Source organism: Homo sapiens, chromosome 1 (genome assembly GCF_000001405.40).
Source record: "Homo sapiens chromosome 1, GRCh38.p14 Primary Assembly".
Taxonomy (NCBI): domain Eukaryota; kingdom Metazoa; phylum Chordata; class Mammalia; order Primates; family Hominidae; genus Homo; species Homo sapiens.
In genome coordinates, this window is record NC_000001.11 from 209,980,309 (window position 1) to 209,994,638 (window position 14,330).

At 39.5% G+C, this 14,330-nt stretch overlaps 1 protein-coding gene across 11 annotated transcripts in view, besides 1 other annotated feature; it reads left to right on the forward strand.

Annotated features, from left to right (window-relative positions):
• SYT14 (synaptotagmin 14) overlaps nucleotides 1-14,330 on the forward strand; it is a 233,173-nt gene that overhangs the window by 42,092 nt on the left and 176,751 nt on the right. The window lies entirely within an intron of this gene.
• Nucleotides 13,050-13,550: an enhancer, noted in NCBI's record as "H3K4me1 hESC enhancer chr1:210166703-210167203 (GRCh37/hg19 assembly coordinates)". NCBI's record gives its function as "activates a minimal SCP1, AML or CMV promoter by ChIP-STARR-seq in primed H9 embryonic stem cells {active_cell/tissue: H9 hESC(primed)}" and the evidence as "EXISTENCE:reporter gene assay evidence [ECO:0000049][PMID:30033119]".

A 14,330-nucleotide genomic window follows, 5' to 3' on the forward strand; every position in this document is an offset into this window, starting at 1 on the left:
GTAAATTTGTTTAAGTTCCTTGTAGATGCTAGGTATTAGACCTTTGTGAGATGGATAGATTGCAAAATTTTCTCCTGTTCTTTAGGTTGTTTGTTCATTCTGATGGATAGTTCCTTTTGCTGCACAGAAGCTCTTTAGTTTAATTAGATCCTATTTGTTAGTTTTTGCTTTTGTTGCAATTGCTTTTGGCACTTTTGTCATGAAGTCTTTGCCGGTGCCTATATCCTGAAAGGTATTGCCTAGATTTTCTTCTAAGGTTTTTATAGTTTTGGGTTTTACATTTCATTCTTTATTTTATCTCAAGTTGATTTTTGTATATGGTGTAAGGAAGGGGTCTAGTTTCAGTTTTCTGCATATGGCTAGCCAGTTCTCCCAGTACCATTTATTAAATAGGGAGCCCTTATCCCATTGCTTGTTTTTATCAGGTTTGTTGAAGATAAGATGGTTGTAGGTGTGCAGTCTTATTTCTGGGTTTCTATTCTGTTCCATTGGTCTATGTGTCTGTTCTTGTACCAGTACCAAGCTGTTTTGGCTGCTGTAACCTTGTGGTATGGTTTGAAGTTGGGTAGCATGCTGCCTGCAACTTTGTTCTTTTTGCTTAGGATTGTCTTGGCTATTTGGGCTCTTTTTTGTCCATATGAATTTTAAAATAGTTTTTTTTCTAATTCTGTAAACAATGTCAGTGTTAGTTTAATGGGAATAGCATTCAACCTATAAATTACTTTGGGCAGTATGAATTTTCATGACATTGATTCTTCCTATCCATGAGCATGGAATGTTCTTCCATTTGTTTGTGTCATTTCTGATTTCATTGAGCAGTGGTTTGTAGTTCACCTTGAAGAGGTCCTTCACTTCCCTTAGCTTTTTGCTTTGTAGTTTTTATTGTGTGGAAGCTGTATAGGGTCTATGGGCTATGTACTTTATTATGTTTTTGTGGTAGCAGGTATTGTTCTTTCATTTCCATGTTTAGAATTCCATTAAGGATCTCTTGTAAAGCTCATTTGGTGGTAATGAATTTTCTTAGTGCTTGCTTGGTTGGAAAAAGATTTTATTTTTTCTTTGCATATGAAGCTTAGTTTGGTGGAATATGAAATTCTTTGTTGAAATTTCTTTTCTTTCTTTTTCTTTTTCTTTTTCTTTTCTTTTTTTTTTTTTTTTTTTGAGGCAGGATCTCACTCTGTTGCCCAAGCTAGAGAGCAGTGTTGCAATTGTAGCTCACTGCACCTCAAACTTCTGTGCTTAGGCAGTCCTCCCACCTTAGCCTCCCGAGTAGCTGGGACTACAGGTGTGTGCCACCACACCTGACTAATTTTTAATTTTTAGTTTTTGGAGAGATGACGTCTTGCTATGTTTTTCATGCTGGTCTCAAACTCCTGGACTCAAGCAGTCCTTCTGCATCAGCCTCTCAAAGTGTTGGGATTATAGATGTGAGCCACTATGCCTGACCCAGACTTTCTTCTTTTCAAGAAAGCTGAAAATAGGCCCTTATTCTCTCCTGCCTTGTAAAGTTTCTGCCGAGAGGCCTGCTCTTAGTCTCATGGGGCTCCATTTGTGCATGATCTGACACCTTTTTCTCTAGCTGCCTTTAAGATTTTTTTCTTTAGCGTTGACCTTGGACAGTCTGGTGACTATGTGCCTTGGTGATGTTTGTTTTCTATAGTATCTTGTAGGTGTTGCCTCGATTTCTTATATCTAGATGCCTACCTCTCTTGCAAGATCAGGAAGATTTTCTTGCATTATTCCCTCAGTTATGTTTTCCAGATTTACTTTTTCTCAAGAATGCCAGTAATTCATAGGTTTGGTTACTTTACATAGTCCCATATTTCTCAAAGACTTGTTTATTAATTATTATTATTATTATTTTTTAAATAGGGTCTCACTCTGTAACCCAAGCTGGAGTGCAGTGGCGCCATCACAGCTCACTGCACCCTTGATCTTTTGGTCTCAGGTGATCCTCCCACCTCAGCCCCCAGAGTAGCCAGGACTACAGGCATGTGCCACCGTGGCTGGCTTATTTTTGTATTTTTCTTGGAGACAAGGTTTCACCGTATTGCTTAGTCTGGTTTCAAATTTCTGAGTTGAAGCAATCCACCTGCCTCAGCCTCCCAAGATGCTGGGATTACAGGCATGAAACTGTTTTTAAAATTCCCTTTGCTTTTGTGTGACTGGGTTAGTTTAAAACACTGGTTTTGAAGTTTTGAAATTTTTTTTAATAACTCATTTGTTTTTAACACTGAATAGTATTCCATTGTCTGGATGTTGCACAGTTTTATTTATCCATTCACCTACAGAGGGACATCTTGGTTGCTTCCAAGTTTTGGCAATTATGAATAAAGCTGCTGTAAGCATCAATGTACACATTTTTGTGTGGATGTAAGTTTTCAACTTTTTTCAGTAAATATCAAGGAATGTAATTGCTGGATCATATGGTAAGAATATATTTAGCTTTGTGAGAAGCAGCCAAACTGTCTTTTAGAGTCGCTGTGCCATGTTGCATTTACGGCAGCCATTAATGAGGATTCCTGTTGCTCCACATCCTCATCAGCATTTGGAGTTGTCAGTGTTCTGGATTTTGGCCATTCTAATAGGTATGTGGTGGTGTCTCTGTTGTCTTAATTTGCATTACCCTGATAACAGATGTTGTGGAGTGTCTTTTTATGTGTTAATTTGCTATATGCTTATCGCTTTTGGTGAGGTGTCTTTTAAGGCCTTTGGCCCATTTATTCATCAGGCTGTTTTTTTTTTTATTGTTGAGTTTTAAGAGTTCTTTATATATTTTTGAAACAGTCCTTTATCAAATGTGTCTTTTGCAAATATTTTCCTGTAATCTGTAGCTTGTCTTCTCATTTTCTTCGCATTGTATTTTGCAGAGCAGAAGTTTTAAATTTTAAATTGAGATCCAGTTTATCAACTATTTTTTTTCATGGATTGTGCCTTTGGTGTTATATTTACAAAGTCATTTTTGGCCATTACTTCTTCTGATATTGTTCTGCCTTTTTCCTCTTCTCCTTTTGGTTCTCCTATGATACATGTGTTGGTATGTTTGATGGTATCTCACAGGCCCTCATTATGTTCATTTTTCTGCCTTCTTTTTTTCCCCCTGCTCCTCAAAGTGGGTCATTTCAATGGTTTTATCTTAATGTTTACTGAGTCTCTGATTTGCCTGGCCAAATCTGCCATTGAACATCTCCAGTAAACTTTCATTTGATCTAGTGTACTTTTCACTGTCAGAATGTCTATTTGGTTTCTTTTTATAATTTCTATCCCTTTATTGACACTTGTTCTCCTGATTTTCTTTGTGTGTGTGTGTGTTTTTTCTGTCCCTGGTTTATTTTAGCTTATTAATCTTACTTAAGAAAGTTCATTAAACATCCTTAACTAGTAATTCTAATTTTGGATCTTCCTCAGAGATTGTTTCTGTGAAATTCTTTTATCTTGAGAATGGGCCATACTTTCTTGTTTCTTTGAAAGCTTTGTAACTTTTTGTTGAAAACAACATTTTGAACACTCTATTGTGGTAAGTAGAAATGAGATTGTCCTACTCCTCAGGGATTTCTCATTTTTGGTTAGTAGGTGCTGCAGTCATCTATTTAGTGACCTCCCCAGACTATTTTTGAAAAGTCTTTATTCCTTCTTGTATATAGTCAGAGATGTTTCTTTTTCCTTATATCTGTGGTCAGACAAGGACCTCTCAGAGGTTTTCCTAAATGTCTGGATCCAAAAAAACCAACCAAAGATGTATGTGCCATCTGGAAATAGCCACTGTTGGCAAAGCCACTGCAGCCTGAGGCAGCCAAAACAAAGGCAGGCATCTACATCTGTTCTTCAGGGAAATGCCAGAATGATCAAAATGCACAACCGCCAATTTTTGGAAGTCAGGGTCCTTACTGCTGATTTTAGCGCCAACTAGCCAGTCCAGGTATATGAGCTGATGTCCCCATTGCCAAGGTGGGGGCTGAAGGATGGGGGATGGTAGCTGTTTTGTGCATACTGTTCTCTTACTGAGTTTCAGCAGTCTCTCCCTTCAGCAAGCACATCCCTCGTTGCTCTAATTGTCCAACAAGGTTCCAGAGTTTTGAAATAGTTGATTCTGACAATTTTTTCCTGTTTAATGGTTGTTTCAGTGGAGGTACATACCCTTGAAGCTTCCTTCTCCCTCATTTTCTGTGATGTCATTCTCTCTTATCTTTTAAAAATTTTTAAATAATAAGATGAAAATTATTTTTTAGTACACTGTATTCTTTTTGTTGTATATCTGGGTTTCCATCTTGTGTCATTTTCATTCTGTCTGAAGAACTTTAATATTTCTTACAGCAGATTTGCTGGTGATGTTGTCTTTCAACATGTGTGTATTAGTCCATTCTTCTACTGCTATAAATACCTGAGACTGGGTAATTTATTATAGAAAAGAGGTTAATTGGCTCACGGTTCTGCAGGCTGTATAAGCATGGCACTGGCATCCCTCAGCTTCTGGAGAGGGCTCAGGGAGCTTTTACTCATGCTGGAAGGGAAAGTGGGAGCAGGCACTTCACATGGCAAAAGCAGGAGCAAGAGAGAGTCAGTGGGGAGGTGCCACACACTTAAACAACTAGATCTTGTGAGTACTCACTATTTCAAGAACAGCACTAAGCCATGAGAATTCTGCCCTCAGTACCTAAACACCTCCCACCAGGCCCCACCTCCAACATTGGGGATTACATCTCAACATGAGATTTGGGTGGGGACAGATATACAAGCTATATCATTCCACCCCTGGCCCCACAAAATCTCATGTCCTTCTCATGTTGCTAAATATAATCAGGCCTTTCCAATAGTCCCCCAAAGTTTTAACTTGTTGCAACACTAAAAATCCAAAGTCTCATCTGATACAAGGCAATTGCCTTCTGTCTAGGAGCCTGTAAAATCAAACAAATTATTTACTCCCAAGATACAGTGTGGATAGAGACATTGGGTAAACATTTCCATTCCAAAAGGGAGAAATCGGCCAAAAGAAAGGGGCTGCAGACCCCATGTTAGTTCAAAACGCATCAGGGCAGTCATTAAATCTTAAAAGTTCCAAATCAGTCTCCTCTTTGACTCCACGTCCTATATTCAGGGCACACTGCTTCAAGGGGTGGGCTCCCAATGCCTTCGGCCACTCTGCCCCTGTGGCTTTTTAGGGGGTCAGCCCCCACATCTGTTCTTCCAGGATGGAGTTGAGTGCTTGTGGCTTTTCCAGGTGTACAGTGAAAGCTGCTGGTGGATCTGCCACTCTGGAGTCTGGAGAACAGCTGCCCTTTTTCCACAGCTCCACTAGGAGTGTCCCAGTGGGGACTCTGTGTGGGGCCTCCATCCTCACATTTTCCCTCTGCACTGCTCTAGTAGAGGTTTTCTGTGAGGCCTTAATCCCTGCAGCAATCTTCTTCCTAGACACTCAGGCTTTTCTAAACATCTTTGAAATCTAGGCAGAGGCTGCCAAGCTTCCACTACTCTTGCACTCCAAGTGCCTACAGGCTTAACACTACATGGAAGCCTCCAAGGCTTACAGCTTGCACTCTCTGAAGCAGCAGCCCAAGGTATACCTGGGCCTTTTTGAGCTGAGGCTGGAGCCAGAGTGGCCGGGATACAGGAGCAATTTCCCAAGGCTGTGCAGGGCAGCAGGACCCTAGGCCTGGCCCACAAAACCATTCAGTTCTCCTAGGCTTCAAGACCTTTGGTTGGAAGGGCTGCCATGAAGGTCTCTGAGACCTTTCTCCCATAGTATTGGGTATTAGTACTTGGCTCCTTTTTAATTTTGCAAATTTCTCTAGGAAGTGGTTGCTCCGCAGCCTGCTTAAATTCCTGCCTTGAAATTGGGCCTTTCTTTTCTACCACAAGCCCAGGCTGCAAATTTTCCAAACTTTTATGCTCTGCTTCCCTTTTAAATGTAAGTTCCTATGTTAGTAATTTCTTTGTTCCCACATCTGAACATAGGCTGTTAGAAGCAGCCAGGCCACATCCTGAATGCTTTGCCACTTAGAAATTTCTTCTGCCAGGGGCTGGGCGCGGTGGCTCATGCCTGTAGTCCTAGCACTTTGGGAGGCCAAGGCAGGTGGATCATGAGGTCAGGAGATCGAGACCATCCTGGCTAACATGCTGAAACCCTGCCTCTACTAAAAATAATAATTTAAAAAAAATTAGCCGGGCGAGGTGGCGGGCGCCTATAGTCCCAGCTACTCAGGAGGCTGAGGCAGGAGAATGGCGTGAACCCAGGAGGTGGAGCTTGCAGTGAGCCAAGATTGCGCCATTGCACTCCAGCCTGGGTGATAGCATGAGACTCCGTCTCAAAAAAAAAAAAAATTTCTTCCGCCAGATACCTTAAATCATCTTTCTTTTTTTCTTTTTTGAGACGGAGTCTCACTCTGTCGCCCAGTGCAACCTCTGCCTCCCGGGTTCAAGCAATTCCCCTGCCTCAGCCTTCTGAGTAGCTGGAATTACAGGCATGCGCCACCATGCCCGGCTAATTTTTGTATTTTTTGTAGAGACAGAGTTTCACCATATTGGTCAGGCTGGTCTTGAACTCCTGACCTTGTGATCCGCCCACCTCAGCCTCCCAAAGTGCTGGGATTACAGGCATGAGCCACCATACCCGACCCAATTATCTTTCATTTTCAAACTTACACAGATCCCTAGGACATGAACACAATGCAACCAAGCTCTTTGTTAAGGCATAATATGAGTTACCTTTGCTCCAGTTCCCAGTGTGTTTGTCATTTCCATCTGAGAACTCAGCAGCCTGGACTTGATTGTCCATATCAACATCATCATTTTGGTCACAACCATTTAACTCATCTCTAAGCAGTTCCAAACTTTCCCTCATCTTCCTGTCTTCTTCTGAGCCCTCCAGACTATTCTAACCTCTGCCTGTTACCCACTTCCAAAGTTGCTTTCACATTTTCAGATATCTTTATAGCAGAGCCCCACTCCTTGGTACCAGTTTTCTATATTAGGCAATTCTTGTGTTGCTATAAAGAAATACCTGAGACTGGATAATTTATAAAGAGGTTTAATTGGCTTAAAGTTTTGTAGGCTGTGCAAGCATGGCGCTGGCATCTGTTCAGCTTCTGTAGAGGCCTCAGGAAGCTTTTACTAATAGTGGGACATGAAGTGGGAGCAAGCACTTCACATGGTGAAAACAGGAGCAAGAGAGAATGTGGGTGAGGTGCTACACACTTAAACAATCAGATCTTGTGAGTACTCACTACTGTAAGGACAGCACCAAGCTGTAAAGGATCTTCCCCCATGATCCAAACACCTCCCACTAGGTCTCACCTCCAACACTGGTAATTACATTTCAATATGAGATTTGGGTGGAGACAAATATCCAAACTATATCCTTTTGTGTGACTCAAAGTTGTGTTGTGTTGTTTTACAAAATTTCACCTTTTGCTTTTCAAAGATCATTTAACTGGCAAGGACTTCTAGATTAGCGGCTTTTATTCTTTCAATACTTTAAAGATAGTGTGCCACTTGTTCTATCTTTTATTATTTCTGATGAATCTCTTGTCAGCCTTACCTCTTTTCTTTTGTAGATAATGTGTAATTTTTCTGACTACTTCTGTTTTTATCTTTACAACTTTAATCCATTTGAATATAATGTTCCTTTGTGTAGTTTTCTTCGTTTTTTTCTTGTACATTGAATTTACTGAGCTGCTTTTGGTGATAGTTTTCATTAAATTTGGAACAATTTTGACCATCACTTCTTCAAATGTTTTCTTGATTTCTTCTTTTCTCATCTCTTTTGTGGGGACTTCAATTACACATGTATTTATCTACTTGAAGTTGTTCCACAATTTACTGATTATTTGCATTTTTTTAGTCTTTCTGTTGTGTTTATGCTTTCTGTTGATATGTCTTCAGGTTCATTAACATTTTCTTTTGTAATATCTGATGTGCTGTCAGTCTCTTTCAGTGTATTTTTATCTAAGACATTTTAGTTTTTACCTTTGGAAGTTTGATTTAGGCTTTTAAGAAAAGTTCCGTATCTCCTCTTACCACATTCGATCATTCCTCTGGTTCTTCAAACCCATGGAATATATCATCATAATTGTTAGTGTCCCTGTCTCCTAATTTTATCAATTTTCTGAGTCAGTTTCGATTGATTAATTTTTCTGCTAGGTTTTTTTCATTTTGCTTCTTTGCATACCTGATAATTTCTTTATTGGATGCCAAACATTGTGAAGTTTCCCTTGTTGAGTGTTAGATCTAATCGTGATTAGTTCTTGAGCTTTATTCTGAGATAGGTTAAATTACCTGAGACTTTCCTTTCAGTCTTGCTTTTCACCTTTGTTAGGAGGGGCAAAACCTGCATTTAGTGTAAGATTAATTTTCTGAAGCAAAATCCTTCATATGTCAGTCTAATCAGTGGCTCATAAGGTTTGAGATTTTAAAATTCTGGATCTTCAGAATAGTCCCCATTTCATGCTCTGTGTAAGATTTGGCATGTCTTCCCTCTAATCCTCTTAGGCAGTTTTTTTCCCAGCCTCTGATTGTTTCCTTACATGTATGTGCTAAGAAGTACTGAACTGTATCTTAGGAGTGACTCAGTGCAGGTGTCTGGAGTTCTCTGTCTACACAGCTTTTTATTCCGGGACTCAGCCACATGAACTTGAGCACACTTGGCTTCTTCATACTCCCAGGTTTATCTCCTCAACACTCACCTGACTGTACAGTGACCGCACTGTCCCCTTTCTCCAGGTAGTAAGCTTGGAAAATCATAGTCATACAGATGATCTCATTTTTTTTCTTCCTCTGAATGATCACTCCTTTATTGCCCATCTTCAGTGTCTTGAGTGCCATTGTTTCATACGCTCTGTCTTGTTTTAGTGTTTTCAGGTGGTGGGAGAAATCTGTCCATGTTATTTTATCTTAACTGGAAGTAGAAAATGTGATTATTAGAATGGGGTCATTTTTGGTATTTAAATAGACTATATAAAAATCTGCAGCAGCGATTTCAGGAGAGACTGGGAAATTACACAGGAACTGAGAGTCCTGGATTAGAGAACAAGATATGGTGAAATTTAAGAGGAGACAGAAATTTGATTATTTAGAAGAATTGGAAATTGGACAATGTAGGTTTATGAATAAAAAGTAAAAACAAAATTTATTAAGGTAGAGAATTAGTTTTATCTTACATTTACCTTAAGGAAAGGCATTCTCTAGCTGTCTGCTCTTCAGCCTTTGAATCATTGTCTTAGAACATTTCATTTGATTTCTGAATGAGATTACTTATTAAGTTTTAACATTCCAGAAATGGTGATATAAATGTAGTTGCTTATATCATCTTTCTTCCTTTAAAGCTTAAAGTTAACAGTGATAAAAGATAATGTGTATTATATTTACGTAGAAGTTAAATATATTTTATATTACTTTTTGAGCATGTCAGGGGAATTATAGTATAGTTATGTTAACTAGTAGATATATGGTGCCATCTAATGGCTAATATGAAAATATATTTAGTAAATACTTCAGTGCTTTGCCTAGTGTGTATATATGAAATTTTACTGTGAAATTATTGTTGCTTTAGATGTCCAAGGCGTCGTTTTTATTTAAACTCTAAGATATATTTATATTTTCATTTCAATTTATACTTTTTAAAATTCAGCTATATATTGGTCTGACTTTTCATCACGTTTAAAGCCATGTACTTGCAGTTAGCACAATTTAAAGTATATTCAATATAAAATTAGCATATAAATCAATTTTAATAAACAAGTAAAAATTACAGACCTCCTGTTTGCTATCTTTTACTTCTGGTTCCTTCAAACTGGACCCAATATGTAGTTATAAATTATGCCTTATAGAACCTCAGCTTTATTGTAAACAGAATTCATTTTCCCTCCACCTTTCATCTGTTTTTGTACATTTTACAAAATATATAAAAAATGTTAGAATATTGTATTAGATTGGTGATTTTTAAATGCTGTTCCAGATTGTTAGGGCTTCTCTAGAGCCACTCAGTCTGTGATGGAGATGGCTAAGTTTAGAAAATTAGCATATCAATGGCTCTAGAAGTCCTGCACTGAAAAACTTCTCAACTTTATTTAGCCCAATATTTCCTGAATACGTTTCATCATGGAACGCCCCCACCTTCCTTTTTAAAAATCTCACATCTTAATATCTGTTGATCTAGTGTTCCTCAGATGTCATTTTGGCAGTTGTCCTAAATTCCATTTTTAAGGATGAAGGAATATTTCACATATATATATATACGTATATATATGTATATATATACGTATATATATGTATGTATATTTCTTGTTTTAATGAAATAAAGTGTGTTGCTTTTTCTTATCATATGATAATACTTGTTATTTATCAAAAATTTAGCAGTATGCCATTTACCCTGATGTGATTATTACACATTGTATGCCTGTATCAAAATAACTAATGTACTCCATAAATATATACACTTATATATATACCCATAAAAAATTTAAAAAATTAGTAAATACAGAGTAATCATTGTTTCTTTCACATTCTTGTCATTTCCTCGTTAGAAAAAGCTTTGTCAGATTGGTATTATTACAAAGTTGGAGGTATCACTTTACCTGACTTCAAATTATACTGCAAGGTGTTAGTAACCAAAATAGCATGGTATAAAAATAGTCGCAGATTAGTAGAATAGAATAGAGAACCCAGAAATAAAGCCCCACACTTACAGCAAACTGATCTTTGATAAAGTCAACAAAATTATACACTGGGGAAAGGACACCCTATTCAGTAAGTGGCGCTAGGAAAATTGGATTGCCATATGCAGAATGAAACTGGACTCCTAACTCTCACCACATACAAAAAATAACTCAAGATGGATTAAAGCCTTAAATGTAAGTCCTGAAGCTGCAAAAAGTGTAGAAGAAAATCTAGGAAAAACTCCTCCAGACATTGGCCTAGACCAAGAATTCATGACTGAGACCTTCAAAAGCAAATGCAACAAAAACAAAAGTAGACAAATGGGGCTATATAAACTGAAAAGCTTCTGCACAGTAAAAGAAATAATCAACACAGTGAACAGACAACCTGCAGAATGGGGGAAAATACTAGCCAACTTTGCATCTGATAAAGGTCCAATGTCCAGAATCTACAAGGAATGCAAACAACTCAACCAAAATCCCTCAAATAACCCCATTAAAAAGTGAGCAACGGAAATGCACAGACATTTTGCAAAGGAAGACATACATATGGCCAAGAAGCATATGAAAAAATGCTCAACATCACTAATCATCAGAGAAATGCAAATTAAAACCACAAGGAGATACCGTCTTACACCAATCAGAATAGCTGTTATTAAAAAGTCAAATAACATCTAACCTGGCCAATATAGTGAAACCCCATCTCTACTGAAAATACAGAAATTAGCTGGGCGTGGTGGTGTGTGCCTGTGGTCCCAGCTACTCGGGAGGCTAAGGCATGAGAATCGCTTGAACCTAGGAGGCAGAGGCTGCAGAGAGCCAAGATCACACCACTGCACTCCAGCCTGGGCGATAAAGCGAGACTCCGTCTCGAGAAAAAAAAAAAAAAAGTCAAATAACAGATATTGACGGGGATGCAGAGAAATGGAAACATACGCTGTTGGTGGGAATGTAAATTTGTTAAGCCACTGTAGAAAGCAGTTTGCAGATTTCTCAAATAATTTAAACAGAACTACCATTTGACCTAGCAATCTCATTACTTAGTATAGGCTCAAGGGAAAATAAATCATTATATCAAAAAGATACCTGCACCTGTATGTTTATTGCAGCACTATTCACAATGGCAAAGATATGGAATCAACCTAAGTGTCTACCAATAGATGACTGGATAAAGAAAATTTTTTTTTGTTGTTGTTGTTTTTGCTTGAGACAGGGTCTTGCTCTGTCACCCAGGCTGGAGTGCAGCGGCACGATCATAGCTCACTCATCCTTGAACTCCTGGGTTCAAGTAATCCTCCTGCCTCAGCCTCCCAAGTAGCTAGGACTACAGATGCACACCACCACACCTGGCTAAAAAATGTGGTTTATATAACCATGGAATACTACTCAACTATAAAAAAGAATGAAATCTTGTCTTTTGCAGCAACATGGAGGGAACTGGAGGCCATTATTTTAAGTGAAATAACTAAAAAACAGAAAGTCAGATGCTGCATGTTCTCATGGGTAAGTGGGAGATAAATAATGTGTACACATGGACATAGAAAATGTAGTAATAGACATTGGCAACTCAGTAGGATGGAAGTGTGAGAGAAGGATGAGGGATGGGAAATTACTTAATGGGTACAGTGTATACTTATTCTGGTGATGGCTACGCTAAAAACACCACTATGCAATATATCTTTGTAACAAAATGGCACTTAAACCCCCTGAATTTATAAAAAACAAATAAATAAAAGGCAAATGTAAACCATGCTTGCTTAAGAAAACTGAAGGGGGGACAAGATGGCCTACTAGACACAGGGAGGAAGTACCATTCACACTGAGAGAGACCATATTATTGAGTAAACCACCTTAATTTGGGCAGATCTTCAAAGAGAAAAAGCTGAGAGTGAATGGAAAGGCGACACTGAAGCTGAGCATGAAGGTGGGGAAGCTGGGAACACTGTGTAGGTTAACTGAACCCTAGGACTAGTTCCTGGCCCTTAAGAGCTCCTGGGAAAGAGGTGAATGAAGGACCTGAGGGACAGCTCACTTTCACCACTGACCCCTAGGATCCTAGTTACTCGTCTGCTGTGGACATGCGAGCTGGCAGAGGGATCTTGCTGGGGATAGGCAGAGACTAATTTTCAGATGTTGCAGAGCCTGGGAGTTTTTGTGGGCTGGGTAGCTCTGTCAGAGAGTGACCATAGATGTCTTTTCCCTAGGGTTCCCCATCCCCCTTCAGGAAGTGCCAGCCCCAACTGACCTCTGAGCCAGAAAAGAGTGGGGCTGGCTTCGCCATGGAACAGGGGCACATCTGTTGTGCAAGCTCGCCTGTCGACTGCCCCTCCTTGGACACATGCCTAGCTGCCCCGCATGATTGAGTGCACAGTGTAGCATCTGCAGCCTAGCCTGAGTGCATTGTTTCACCTTATTTCTTTTCCTAGTGGCCCAGAAACACTTGTAATTCCTCAGCACAGCTGGAACCTGACCCCAAGCTGCGGGACATCTGGGTACCCCCAGAGCTCCAGCCTGCAGCCAAGATCTGTGGCCAGCACATGAGCTGGGGAGGAGACTGTATGTACCCTTAGAACACTGAGGGGGCGACACGCATGGGTTCCTGGACCAGGGTGGGAACCAGACATGCATTTCTCCTTAAACAGGGCCTGTCCAGAAGGGGTTTGGCATATCTCTCTGTTGCAGCCTCTGCCTGGGGGGCCTGGCAGCCCGGAACACCTAACAAAAGAAACTCAGGCATGGGCGCCCATGATTGGAGGGAGCTCCCCCAAGTGGACCTGGTGAGGCCATCTCTTCTCCTTCCCCTCTCCCCATCCCTGACTTCCCCACTGCAGTGCACACCTGTGAAAGTGAGGAAGTACCAAAGAGTTGTGTGGCTGGGTATTAGCCTAGCTACTGGCCATTACTCTTAAGTGCCAGCTACTGGATTGTAGCCCAAACTGCAACACCAAAAATCTGCTGATATATACACCTGTGAAACCAAGTGCAAGTGTTTACCTAAAGATGTTGTACGGAGCCCTAGTCCTCTGAAAGCACCCAGAATTGAAGCTAACTGACTATATACAGTTAACACTGCAGAACACCAACCCTCCAAGATGAGAGTCAGTGCTAGAACTCTGGCAATTCAAAAAGCCAAAGTGTCCCCCTACCTCCAAATGAATCTACTAGTTCCCCAGCAATGGTTCTTAACCAGTTTGAAATGACTGAAATAACAGTCATAGAATTCAGAATCTGGATAGAAGGGATGCTCATTGAGATTCAGGAGATAGTTGAAACACAATCTAAGGAATCCAGTAAGATGATCAAGGAGCTGAAAGAGGAAATAACCATTTTAAGAAAGAACCAACTGAACTTCTAGACCTGAAGAACTCACTACAAAAATTTTATAATACAATCAGAAGTATTAACAGCAGAATAGAACAAACTGAGGAAAGAATCTTAGACTTTGAAGATTGTTTCTTCAAGGCAACTCAGACAAAAACGAAGAAAAAAGAATTTTTTAAAACTGAAAAAAACCTCTGAGAAATATGGGATTATGTAAAGTGATTAAATCTAAGACTCATTGGCATTCCTGAGAGAGAAGGAGAGAGAAAAATAACTTGGAAAATATACTTGAGGATATAATCCATGAAAATTTCCCTAATCTTGCTAGAGGTTGACATGTTAATCCAATAAATACAGAGA